The following is a 13,003-nucleotide window of genomic DNA, read 5'->3' on the forward strand; positions in this document are numbered from 1 at the left end:
GAAGTGTGTAACACTCTCCACCAAGTGAGAAAATGTGGGACTTTTGGAGGCCATCACCCAACATCATTCTTCAGCCTCCACTCATTTTTTTCTAAAATGGAAATAGCTTTATAGTATTTTTTTTTCTCATAAAAAGAATGCAGGCTGGGGGTGGGGGAGGACGGAACAAAAATAACAAAGTATTAAGAAAGTAAAAACCACACTCTCATTCCAGATTTTCTTTTCTGATCGCTTGTTCCTTTCAGATCTGGGACTAGATTTCAGAGGAAATGGTAGACTTTCATAGCTCGGGGGAGGGGAGGTGGAGGGAGAGGCTGCTGTCCCAGGAGCCTAGGGAAGGAAGAGGCAATTTTTCATAAAAGTACAAGTGGCCCATAGCCCCAGGGGAAGATGCCGTCCCTTTCTGGTAATCGGTGGAAGGGAAACACAACTACAAGGTGATGAGATTATCGAAGAAGAAAGAGTAATAAGGCCTGGTGTGGGGGAGGGAAAGGAGGGGGGCGGGCCCTCTTCTGCCGCACTGCTGGTGGGAGGGGAAATTGGGGACCCGAGTTGGTGGATGACGTAGCCCTCACGTGACCAAGAGCTGACGTGTGCAGAAGTCCTTCTTGTCCTGGTCGTTGTTCCCGTCTGAGTACCAGCTCCCCACTGCCCTGAGGGCGGGCCGGCCTGCGGCGGAGGGAAAAAGGAAGAGGAGAAGGAAATTGTCCCGAATCCCTGCAGGTCAGTACCTGGAAGATTCCATAAAGTCGGGGTGCTTGAGGGCGTAGGGCCGAGACCGTCGCGGGTACTGAGGCGCCTCCGTCGTCTCTCCCACTCGCCGCCCGCTTTCCAAGACATATGTCCCGCTTGCAGCCCATTTCGATGCTGCGAAACGGTGAGCTGCGGGGTGTTTGGGGAAGAGCTCAGAGACTGGGAAATGGGAATCTGCTGGGAGCCTAGGGCCGCAATCCGGAAAGGGAGCTGTGGCCTGGGTGTTGGCCCCTAGTCCACCAGGACAGTGCCGGAGGGGAATGGCTGGATATGGGGGCGGGGGTGGTGAGATGCAACGCGATATGTCAGCAGAACCCCAAGAGAGGTAATAGGGGTGGGAAACCTCTGACAACCAGGCCTCCGAATTAGAAAAGAGTTTTGTGTTCTGGGGACTAGTCCGTCCACCAAGCGCTCAGTGGCGGCAGTTTCCCGTCTTTCTGCCTGTGGCTGTGTCTTACTGACCATGGCTCTGTGTCTAGTGGGTCCAAGCCTCTCCCGGGTGGCCAGTCTTTCTGTAGGTTGCGGCACAACGCCAGGCAAAAGAAGAGGAAGGAATTTAATCCTAATCGGTGGAGGTCGATTTGAGGGTAAGACCATCTGGGGACCCTAGGAGGGACGGGGGTGGCGGCGGGGGTGGGGAGAAGGCAGAGAAGGTAATAATCTAGGTACATGTCTGAGTCCGAATGTGTTTCTTGCACTCCCCGGACTGTGGCGAAATGGCGTGCTTTGTGTGTCTGTGGTTGGGGGGAAGTGGGGGAAATGACAGCAGGGAAACCTATCGGATAGTTTGTTCGTAATCCTCCTCTCTCAACAGCACTTACTCTCCATGTTTTCGATCTGTCATCCTGCAGGTCTGCTGTAGCAGGTGGCTCCGCTTGAAGCGAGGGAGGAAGTTTCCTCCGATCAGTAGAGGTCGGTGTGGGCGTGGGGGCTGCCTGGAATGGGGGAGGGGTTAGAAATCGCCGGCACTTTGGACAGGCTCTTCCAATCCTGCTTTATTTTCCTTACCTCCCTCCCATTTCAGGCTAGGGAGGGGGCAGACCTGTGCATGTCTGGGATAGCATAAAGAGGTTAAAAACAAACCTGATAACCGGAATGGTGAATCAGGAAAGCAACGAATCAACAGTCAACCCATCAAGTGCTCCATTCTCACTGGCTCTGGTCTCTCTGCAGATTGGAAAGATTGTTGGGAGTGGCACACCACTAGGGAAAAGAAGAAGGGGCGAACTGCTTGTCTTGAGGAGGTTAGTGCAAGGGTTCTAGTCAGGTCCCTAGGGACATCTGAGGTTGTGGTGACTGAGACCCCAGCAGAGTCTGTGGATTCCATTGACATTATCTAGGCTTTGGGCGGGGTGACCTGGGATGGGGAGGGAAAGGCTGAAATGAGAGGCATAGAGATTTCGTCAACAATCTACATTTCCTACCTAGCATTCAATTATTATTATCTTGTCCCTCTGTGCAGCTCCCTGCATGGGGCAACACAAGCAGAAGAGAAACTCAAACCCAATTTTCTTCTTCCACTCCTAGGTCAACCCCCAGAATCAGCTCTTGTGGCCTTGAAGTGGCTGAAGACGATCACCCTCCACAGGCTTGAGCCCAGTCCCACAGCCTTCCTCCCCCAGCCTGAGTGACTACTCTATTCCTTGGTCCCTGCTATTGTCGGGGACGATTGCATGGGCTACGCCAGGAAAGTAGGCTGGGTGACCGCAGGCCTGGTGATTGGGGCTGGCGCCTGCTATTGCATTTATAGACTGACTAGGGGAAGAAAACAGAACAAGGAAAAAATGGCTGAGGGTGGATCTGGGGATGTGGATGATGCTGGGGACTGTTCTGGGGCCAGGTATAATGACTGGTCTGATGATGATGATGACAGCAATGAGAGCAAGAGTATAGTATGGTACCCACCTTGGGCTCGGATTGGGACTGAAGCTGGAACCAGAGCTAGGGCCAGGGCAAGGGCCAGGGCTACCCGGGCACGTCGGGCTGTCCAGAAACGGGCTTCCCCCAATTCAGATGATACCGTTTTGTCCCCTCAAGAGCTACAAAAGGTTCTTTGCTTGGTTGAGATGTCTGAAAAGCCTTATATTCTTGAAGCAGCTTTAATTGCTCTGGGTAACAATGCTGCTTATGCATTTAACAGAGATATTATTCGTGATCTGGGTGGTCTCCCAATTGTCGCAAAGATTCTCAATACTCGGGATCCCATAGTTAAGGAAAAGGCTTTAATTGTCCTGAATAACTTGAGTGTGAATGCTGAAAATCAGCGCAGGCTTAAAGTATACATGAATCAAGTGTGTGATGACACAATCACTTCTCGCTTGAACTCATCTGTGCAGCTTGCTGGACTGAGATTGCTTACAAATATGACTGTTACTAATGAGTATCAGCACATGCTTGCTAATTCCATTTCTGACTTTTTTCGTTTATTTTCAGCGGGAAATGAAGAAACCAAACTTCAGGTTCTGAAACTCCTTTTGAATTTGGCTGAAAATCCAGCCATGACTAGGGAACTGCTCAGGGCCCAAGTACCATCTTCACTGGGCTCCCTCTTTAATAAGAAGGAGAACAAAGAAGTTATTCTTAAACTTCTGGTCATATTTGAGAACATAAATGATAATTTCAAATGGGAAGAAAATGAACCTACTCAGAATCAATTCGGTGAAGGTTCACTTTTTTTCTTTTTAAAAGAATTTCAAGTGTGTGCTGATAAGGTTCTGGGAATAGAAAGTCACCATGATTTTTTGGTGAAAGTAAAAGTTGGAAAATTCATGGCCAAACTTGCTGAACATATGTTCCCAAAGAGCCAGGAATAACACCTTGATTTTGTAATTTAGAAGCAACACACATTGTAAACTATTCATTTTCTCCACCTTGTTTATATGGTAAAGGAATCCTTTCAGCTGCCAGTTTTGAATAATGAATATCATATTGTATCATCAATGCTGATATTTAACTGAGTTGGTCTTTAGGTTTAAGATGGATAAATGAATATCACTACTTGTTCTGAAAACATGTTTGTTGCTTTTTATCTCGCTGCCTAGATTGAAATATTTTGCTATTTCTTCTGCATAAGTGACAGTGAACCAATTCATCATGAGTAAGCTCCCTTCTGTCATTTTCATTGATTTAATTTGTGTATCATCAATAAAATTGTATGTTAATGCTGGAAAGAAAAAAAGAAGAAAGAAAGAAACCATCCCTGTCCTTCAGTTTATAATCTAGTTGGAGAGATAAGAAACGTACAAACCAAAAGATAACAGAATATCTGAAGCATGTACTCATTGTCAGATGTTCCCTCTGAGAGCACAGAGGAGGCAAAAGCTTCTGTGGGATGTGCTAGTCGGCTAAAGCTTCACAGAGGAGGTGGCAATTGAAAATGAGTCCTGAATGGGGTAGGGTGGTTAGGGAATTCCATGAGACAAGACAAGGGGGGCATGGTGTGAGAAAGGCATGGAAGTAGGAACCCTCTTCCTATGACAGGAGATCATTCTGCTTAGAGTGGAGAGTGTGGAGAGTGGGAGTAGATAATTTTGGAAAGCTGGGTGAAGCCAGTTGTGGAGAATTGTTTGAATATTATCCCATTGAATACCCAGAGCCACTAAATCTTTTTTTACTAGAAAATAATTGGGGTCCATATGAAAGTCTCTATTACTGAGTAGTGTCAATGAGGGTGTGGCAAAATGGAGCCTTTCACATCCTAGTGGTGGCCATTTGGTAATACAGATATAAGCCTTAAACTATGTAAACCCTTGTCCTAAGGAAGTAATTGAATAATTGCCCAAAGATTGTATGTATGAGGCTGTTCATCCCAGCACTGTCTAAGCTAGTAAAAATTGGAAACAATTTAAGTATCTAGCACATTGGATTGGTTATAAAGCAAGGAATGTTCACACAGTAGGATATTATAAGTATGCTGATGGAAATCTATATTGCCAGGAAAAGCTATTCATTATGCGTTGTGAAGTCAGAAAGTAAAAAAGGGTAGATAGAAGTATTCGAAGTATAGTTCCATTTTTTGAGACTAATAAAACATATGTTTAAAAGGACACTAAAAACTGGAGTTATAGATATCCAGATAGAAACAGTAGTTATCTTTGGGTAGAAGAATAATGAGTGATCTTTACTTTTTTACTTTTTATTCATCTTTGTGTTTTTATTTATCTAAAATGGGTATTGATTTTTAGGACGGTTTTGAAAAAGAAAAGTGTTGGGAATGAAGCAAGTGATTGATTGGAAAACATACTGAATGGAAGAAATATTTAGATTAAAAATGAGGTAGGTTGAAGTTTCTTCTCTGAAATGATAGATAAATGGTGAAGATAAGGCTTATTGTGAGGATTCAGTGAGGTAATATATGCAAAGTACTTACAATGTTCTGGCACATAGTAATTAATTAAGAAAATCGAGCACCCTTAATTACCTAGAATGCAGGGTTGTTAGTTTTTTGGTTGACTTTTGTTTTGCTGGGGCATTCTGCCATGTTTTAGTGTCATTTAATAAATAATAGTAACAATAAAGGTTAACATTTATTAAGTGACTACTGTGTAAAGTTCTATCATTCCTGCAAGGCAACTGTTAAAATAATTTCTCACAGGAGTAGAGTTTTCTTTCTTTCCTAAAAATCCAAAGTGTTTCCTCAGACATGATCACACCAGCCTCCACAATATATTTCTAGTTGTTTGGGGGATGTTATCCTGCTTTATATATGAGGCCAGGAAAGGGTAAAATCCTCTATTCACTTACCTGGTTTTATACCCAGGTTTCCCTGTATGTACTGTAATGGGGTGATGGAAAAGTGAACTAACATTTTTTCTTGTTCCTATTGTTAGGTGAGAGAGAGAGATTTGTGGGGAGATGGAGTGGGGAGGATTAATTCCTTTAAAATAAATTCAGTTTGATGTACCTGCGTGACACTCAGATGGGGATATCCTATTGTCATTTGAATGATTGATCTGGTGCTCAGAGGAGATGAACAGGCTGCAAATAAGGATTTGAGAGCCATTGGAGGATGGATGATAATGGAGCACATGGAAGCAGATGTGGCCCTTCAGAGAGAAGGTGCAGAGTCAGAGTGAAGGGTTGCAAAAGAACTGTAAGGGACTATGGGCAGCTGGGGAGAGAAGCACAGAATTGAAACAATGTATACCCTTCCAGACACTTTTACTATTCATATACTTATATATTCTTTACATAAAATTGGATCATACTATTGAAAAATTTTCAGTGCCTGATTTAAAACTTTTTTCCTCAAAAAAAGAATAATATTCATTGGAGATATAATACTTGAAAAAATAGAGTTGATGAGTACAAACTTGTGCCTTGACCCAGATATGTAGCTTGAACATCTAACAAAAATCCAGATCAAGCCATGTTGAACTTGAGATGCGGAGCGACTTTTACACCTGGGGTGAAAATGAGGCTAACTCGAGTAGTAAAAATCCCCAGTGAGGCAGGTATAGGCCTGACTAGCACCCATCTGCTCCTTTCCCCATTCCTTTGTTCCTTCTCATTCTTCTTTCCACTTCCTTCCTCCTACTTTTCTTTATTTTATCCTTCTGGGAGATCATTGGTGGTAGCCTCTCTGGGCTTCTCTGACCCTTCAATTCCCATGACGCCATGCCATGTATCAGTGGGCATTTAATACAGAATAATAACTGTCATTGCTCTGGTCATAAGTTGACCCTGGGTGTGACTGGATGCCAAGAATTTTTGGAACCTTTGTTGGACAAAAAGAGACTGAGAAGGAACTAGTCTTAACTTGTCACGGCCACATGTGCACTGCATGAATTTTTGATGTCCTGTACCCGGTCTTATTTAGACTGAATAACCCGGAGTCTGGGAAAGGTGTATGAGATAGATGTGTGACTGCTTGGTCCAGGCAGCCAGGTCACAGGTTGATGTCCCAATGTTTTCACATAGGAGGTTGTCACTCTCAATCCTTTTGGAAGGGGCAGAGTTCTAGGATTGTAGCTGATTATGGCAGCCCATTGGCACATGGAGGAGGCAGTGTCTTCTCTTTAGAGAGGATGGCAGCTTCTGGGAAACCAAGGAAACCAGAAACTCAGAGGATGTCCTGCTATTTTGGTTTTGTTCTCATCTAACAGTTTTAGGAATATAAGTGGATCTATCCCAGTGCAAACATGTTCAAAGGCGATTTTACAAAAGTGGAGTGTTGTTCTGTTGTAAATTGTCAGCCAATATACATAATATTTCAAGGCTCAGGAAATGGATTTTCTTTTTTGAAAAATTCACATTTTACCTGTCTTTTTTCAAAAGAGATTCCAAGTGTAGGCTTAGCAAATTGATGTGGTTCAGGCAAATTTTATGTTTATGGCTCTCTTTCATTAATTTCTTTGCTAAGTTCCCTTGAGAATGGCCTTTTAGATAATGATTCATACTATTTTCAATGCTAGCTTTTTACATTTATTTTGCATCGCATCCCAGGCTGAAGATTTTTTTCCGGTTTTTCTGTTTAAACCATGGCTCTTTCTTGCTTTTAAGCCAGAGCCGTGTCACCACCATCCTGGGGTCCCTTATCTGCCCTGCCCCGAGGGTATGGTATTAGCAGGATAAGTAATATTTACTTATCTGAGTGGCATAGCTCAGTGCTTGACCCTCTCCACTGGGGCCCTCTCAGGTATTGTGCTAAGGGCTTGGGCAATGTATGCTTTAGGGGATAGATGGGAGAGGAGGGAGAGGGGAGAAGGGAGTGAAGGAAGCCTTATCAGAGAGGTAACTTTATTCTGACAGGGTGCCCTCAAAGTAGGAGAACTTGGTGGATCCATCTCCACTGTGAGGATAAAGTTATTGCTGAAATCCAATTCTTGTATTCAAGAGATGCAGCACATTTCTCCCTGGACACAATTATAAATTTTGTCTGCCCAGATGCTCCTTTAGCAGAGGTAGAGCATCGGTGGGTGGTAGTTTTATGACTATTAACATATATGATCAAATTGGCTATCAAAAAGAGTTTAAGAGAAATATACTTTTTTTTAGCAGTGTGATTAATTTTTTAAATTATATTTTTAAAAAAATGACGAATAATAAAAAGTATGTATTTATGGAGTACAGTATCATGTTATGATACATGAATACATTGTGGAATGATTAAAACAGGCCTATTAACATACAACACCTAACATACTAATCTTTTGTGGTGGGAACACTTAAAATCTACTTTTTAAGCAATTTTGGAATATACAATATGTTATTATTAAGTATAGTCCCCATGCAATGAAATAGGCTACTAGAACTTAATCCATTTGTCTAACTGAAACTTTGTGCCCTTTAAGAAACATCTCTCCTTTCCTTGTGCCTCCCCTTACCCCCATCCCGTGGTAACTACCATTCTACTCTACTTCTATGAATTCGACTTTTTAAGATTCCACATATAAGTGAGATCATGCATTATTTGTCTTTTTGTGCCTGACTTATTTCACCTAGTACAATGTTTTCTAGATTAACATGTTATTGCAAATGTTGCAACTGACAAATTTTCCTTCTTTTTTTTTTTTAAGAGACATAAGACATAAGAGTCTCATTACGTTGCCCATGCTGGTATCGAACTCCTGGGCTCAAGAGATCCTCCCACCCCAGCCTCTGAATTAGCTAGGACTACAGGCCAGTGCCAGTACACCCGGCTGGCTAGAATTTTCTTCTTTTTAAAGGCTGCATTGTTTCCATTGTATTTCCATTTGCATGTGCCACATTTTCTTTATCCATCCAATGATGGACACTTAGGTTGATTCCACATCTTGGCTATTGTGAATAATGCTGCAATGAACATGGGAGTGAAGATATCTCTTTGATACACTGATTTCAATTCCTTTGAATATATATGCAGAAGTGGGATTGCTGGATAATATGGTAATTAAAATTTTAGTTTTTTGAGGGGCCTCCATACTCTTTTCCAAAATGGCTGTACTAATTTACATTCCCACCAACAATGTTCAAGGATTTCATATTCTTGACATTCTTACCAAAATTGTCACAGTTTGTAAAAGGTAGTCTAATAAGTGGCCTAAGTGAATGTGACAACACTTCATTGAAAGCAATCTTAGGTTTTTCCAACTATAGTCAATAATAACTTAATTGTACATTCTAAAATAACTCAAAGAGTGTAATTGGATTGCTTGTAACTTAAAGGATAAATGCTTGAGGGGATGGATGCCTCATTCTCCATGATGTGCTTATTTCACATTGCATGCCTGTATCAAAACATTACATTTATCCCATAATATACACACTTACTATGTACCCCCAAAAAATAAACATTAAAATTAAGTTTTCAAAAAAAAAAAAACCTTAATGTTGTCCTAGGACACATGACAGTGAGTAATCTAATCAGTGTACTTGAGAGTTTGAAAGTCTACTGGCTATTCCAGTCTTCCAACAAGACAGTTATTATATATTATCATGTGTGCTTGGAACCAAAGATAAGAAACTGATCTTTTTGAAGCATAGAATGAATTGTCAGATATAGAGGGTTTAGGCACTATGAGTTAAGACATTTTGGTGGACACTTACAAGATAAAGTAATATGCTTATCAAACATGGTGAAATAGTTTAAATTTATAAAATAAACTTGGGTACAAATGGAAAAAATAGTAAATCATATAATAGTGTAATAAAAAATAAAATAAGTGTCAGAGGGACATTGAGACTGATACAATTGGTTGAACTAGCAATTGATGCAATCATTCTATGCACTAGTTTGATGAGTTTGATAGATAGATGATAGTCATTTACGAGTGATACATGTTCTTTTAATCAAAAGAAATAAAAGAATAATGTTGACACATGGGCTCTATAGTGTAATACTCTAAAAACTTGCTAGAATAGAGAAAAGCTGTTGATTTAAAAAATATTTCTTATGTTCCACCACCTTTTCTAATTTGCTGATTGACTTTCTAATTTTTAAATAGTCCCTTGTTTTTTAGAAGAATACAATCATTATCAGTTGTAAATATAAATTAATTTTATCTTTTCCCAATTTTACACTATTTCTTATCTTATTGCAATAGTTATAATCTCAAAAAACACTTGAATAAGAATGGAAATTGTGAGTAACAGTGACTCGTTTCTGGTTTTAGTGGGAATTACTTTGGCATTTCATGGTCTGAATGAGGATTGCTGTTGATTGTTGGTAAAAAGTGCTTTTAATATTTAAGTCATCCCCTTCTATTTCTATTAGTGTCTGTTAGGATTAGCTGCTGATTTTTTCCCTAGTGGCTTTTCAACATCTATTAACAGAATCATGCACTTTTTCTCCTTTAATTTTTTTTTTTTTTTTGAGACAGAGCTTCGCTTTTGTCACCCAGGATGGAGTACAATGGTGCGATCCCAGCTCACGGCAACCTCCACCTCTCGGGTTCAAGCAATTCTCTTGCCTCAGCCTCCCAAGTAGCTGGGATTACAGGCATGCACCACCACGCCCAGCTAATTTTGTATTTTTAGTAGAGATGGGGTTTCTCCATGTTGGTCAGGCTGGCCTTGAACTCCTGACCTCAGGTGATCCACTCACCTCGGCCTTCCCAAATATTTTATGTAATTAATTATATTGATAGAATTCCTGGGGGAAAAAAGACACTATCTGTCTCAAAACGCACATAGAAAAAAAACTTTTTTAGAAAAGAGAATTCAGCCTGTAGTCCCAGCTATCTGGGAAGCCGAGGTGGGAGGATCACCTGAGCCTGAGAGGTCGAGGCTACAGTGAGCCGTGATTGTGCCATTGAACTCTAGCTTGGGTGACAGAGTGAGACCTGTCTCAAAAACAAAAACAAAACAAAACAAAAAACAAAAAAGAATTTGGTGTTTGACTATTTATTTTTGCCTTTGTGGATCTATCCCTATCAGGTAATAGTACAGTTTTTTTCTTGCTATACTTCTGAGATCTGTTTGTCTACATATTTTAGAGTTTGTTAATATTTTATTTTTTTTATGTTTATCATTGATAACTGCTTATAGTTACCTTTTTATGTACTATCTTTAACAGATTTTGGTCTCAGCTTTGCTAGCTTTATAAAATCATTAGTGAACTTTCCATTTTTTCCTGTTTTCTGGTAGAGTTTAGATAACATTGGTATTATCTTTTCCTTAAAGGTTAGTTAGAACCCAACTGCAAAACTTTTGGTTTGTTTTACAATGGTAAATCTACAAACACATTTCCGATCTCATCTGTAGTAATTGTTCTAGTCAAATTTTCTATTTCTTGAGTTAATGTTGGTAACTTCTATTCTATTAGGAAATTATATGTTATCTTTAGATTTTCAATTTTGATGTCATATGTTTGTGTGTAAAATTATAATAATAATAATTATAATATAATAATAAATTACTCATGTGATTTATAATAATCACATCTATTTGTGTGGTTCAACCCTTTAATCATAATTTGTATGCTTTTGCTTTCCCTGTGTTTTCTTAGTCATACTCATGATGTTTATGTATTTTATTGGTGATTTAAAAAAAACCAACTTTTTATCACTTTTTAAATTACACTTTAAGTTCTGGGTTACATGTGCAGAATCTGCAGTTTTGTTTCATAGGTATACACGTGCCATGGTGGTTTGCTGCACCCATCAACCTGTCACCTACATTAGGTATTTCTCCTGATGTTATCCCTCCCCTAGCCACCCACCCACTAACAGGACCCGGTGTGATGTTCCCTTCCCTGTGTCCATGTGTTCTCATTGTTCAAAAATATATGGAATGCTTCACGAATTTGCGTGTCATCCTTGCGCGGGGGCCATGCTAATCTTCTCTGTATCGTTACAATTTTAGTATATGTGCTGCCGAAGCGAGCACTATTTATCACTTTTACAATTGGCTTTTTTGGTCATTATCTTAAACTTTAATTTTACTAATTTCTTCTACTGCCTTTGGATTATTTCTCTCGTGCTTTTGAATTTCTTCAAGAAGAGTGTGTATTTCTTTTATTTATGGTTTTATTGAATAATAATGGTAATTATGACTATGGGTTTTTCTCTGGGTATATCTTCAGCCATGCCACAGTACAGTTTGATATGATGTGTTCTCTTTTTCTTTGCTTTCCATATAACTTGCAATTTTATTTTTAATTTTCTTTTTGACGTAGGGGTTATTTTGGAGAATATTGCTATATTATCAGGCAATTACTATGATCATTTTTATTATTAATTTCTAATTTTATTTTGTTAAGAGGATATGCCTATATATTCTCTCCTTTTTGGAATTTATTAATGTATTTTTATGTTTTTGAGGACATGATCGATTTGTTAAAAGTTTTATACATGTAAGAAAAAAGATGCACATTCTCTCCTTATATCATGCAAATTTCTTTCTATTGAGTTAATATCATTGGTTGATTATTTAGATCCTCTATGTCTTTGATTATCTTTTCATCTAATGGGTTGGTCAAATTCCGATAGAGGTGTATTAAAGTTCTCCTTGTAATTCTAACAGTTTTTGCTTTATCTGTTTAGTTGCAATGCTGTTTGGTACATACAAAAGTATTACTTATAATTTCTTTAGTTGTGCCATTTTTATTCATACAAATAATGATTTAAATTGTGTTTTAGAGCTTCCTTTGGCTTATATTAATATTTTCAACCATGTTTTCTTTTTGCTTGCTTATGCCTGATATCTCCTCACTCACTGATCTGTTTCAACATTTCTTTGTTGCTATGCTGTAGGTGTGTTTCTTGTAAAGAACATATAGTTGGATTTTTAATTCACTATCATGGTCTGTGCCCTTTTACCTTTAGTGCAACAGTTAATACCCTTGATTTTATTCTCTTCATTTTGTTTTATGTTCCTATTATTTTTACTATTAATTTTATTTTGTCGAGCCCCCATTTCCTTTCTCTAATTTATTTTTTTTAGTTTATTCAAACTTCTATTCTTACACATTCATTATATTGTGAATTTGGAAAATTTACTATGCTTTTCTACACACTTCATTCCATGAATGCTAGCACTCAAAATCAAACAATGTTTCTCTACTGTTGAATCCAAATGAGATAATTATACCACCCACTGAGGCACCTTATTTTCCCACTGCCCCCAACTCCAAAAATAGGAAACCTTTAGAAACATTTATACAAAGTCCAAGTAGCATTCAATACATAGTGGTTAAATTTGTGATCTCAGAATGACAGTGGCTGAGTTAGAAGCTATTTATTTAAAAGCTGTATTTTCTTGGGTGAGTTTTAAATCACTGTCTATATAAATTTCTTTATGTGAAAATGAAGTTAAGAATTGGATTATCTCA

General features: G+C 39.2%; 1 protein-coding gene and 1 pseudogene across 4 annotated transcripts, besides 2 other annotated features; one reads left to right on the plus strand and one right to left on the minus strand.

The window, feature by feature from the left end:
* ARMCX3 (armadillo repeat containing X-linked 3) lies at window positions 598-5,290 on the plus strand. 4 transcript variants are annotated; one of them, NM_177948.3, is made up of 5 exons: window positions 598-877; window positions 1,233-1,340; window positions 1,605-1,665; window positions 1,927-1,997; window positions 2,281-5,290. In NM_177948.3, exon 5 carries the CDS (start codon window positions 2,427-2,429, stop codon window positions 3,564-3,566), a length of 1,140 nt encoding a protein of 379 aa, NP_808817.1. In that variant the 5' UTR covers window positions 598-877; window positions 1,233-1,340; window positions 1,605-1,665; window positions 1,927-1,997; window positions 2,281-2,426; the 3' UTR covers window positions 3,567-5,290. The 4 variants fall into 4 exon arrangements, with proteins under 4 accessions (NP_808817.1, XP_005262198.1, NP_057691.1 ...); XM_005262141.4 differs by having other exon boundaries at window positions 1,261-1,340; NM_016607.4 differs by having other exon boundaries at window positions 598-723.
* Window positions 931-990: an enhancer, noted in NCBI's record as "active region_29812". NCBI's record gives its function as "activates an Ori minimal core promoter by ATAC-STARR-seq in GM12878 lymphoblastoid cells {active_cell/tissue: GM12878}" and the evidence as "EXISTENCE:reporter gene assay evidence [ECO:0000049][PMID:35858748]".
* Window positions 1,188-2,387: an enhancer, noted in NCBI's record as "BRD4-independent group 4 enhancer chrX:100878731-100879930 (GRCh37/hg19 assembly coordinates)". NCBI's record gives its function as "activates an origin of replication core promoter dependent on BRD2, P300/CBP, MED14 and CDK7 cofactors, and independent of BRD4, by STARR-seq in HCT116 cells {active_cell/tissue: HCT116}" and the evidence as "EXISTENCE:reporter gene assay evidence [ECO:0000049][PMID:35650434]".
* RNU6-30P (RNA, U6 small nuclear 30, pseudogene) lies at window positions 11,454-11,559 on the minus strand (annotated as a pseudogene).

Source organism: Homo sapiens, chromosome X (assembly GCF_000001405.40).
Source record: "Homo sapiens chromosome X, GRCh38.p14 Primary Assembly".
NCBI lineage: Eukaryota > Metazoa > Chordata > Mammalia > Primates > Hominidae > Homo > Homo sapiens.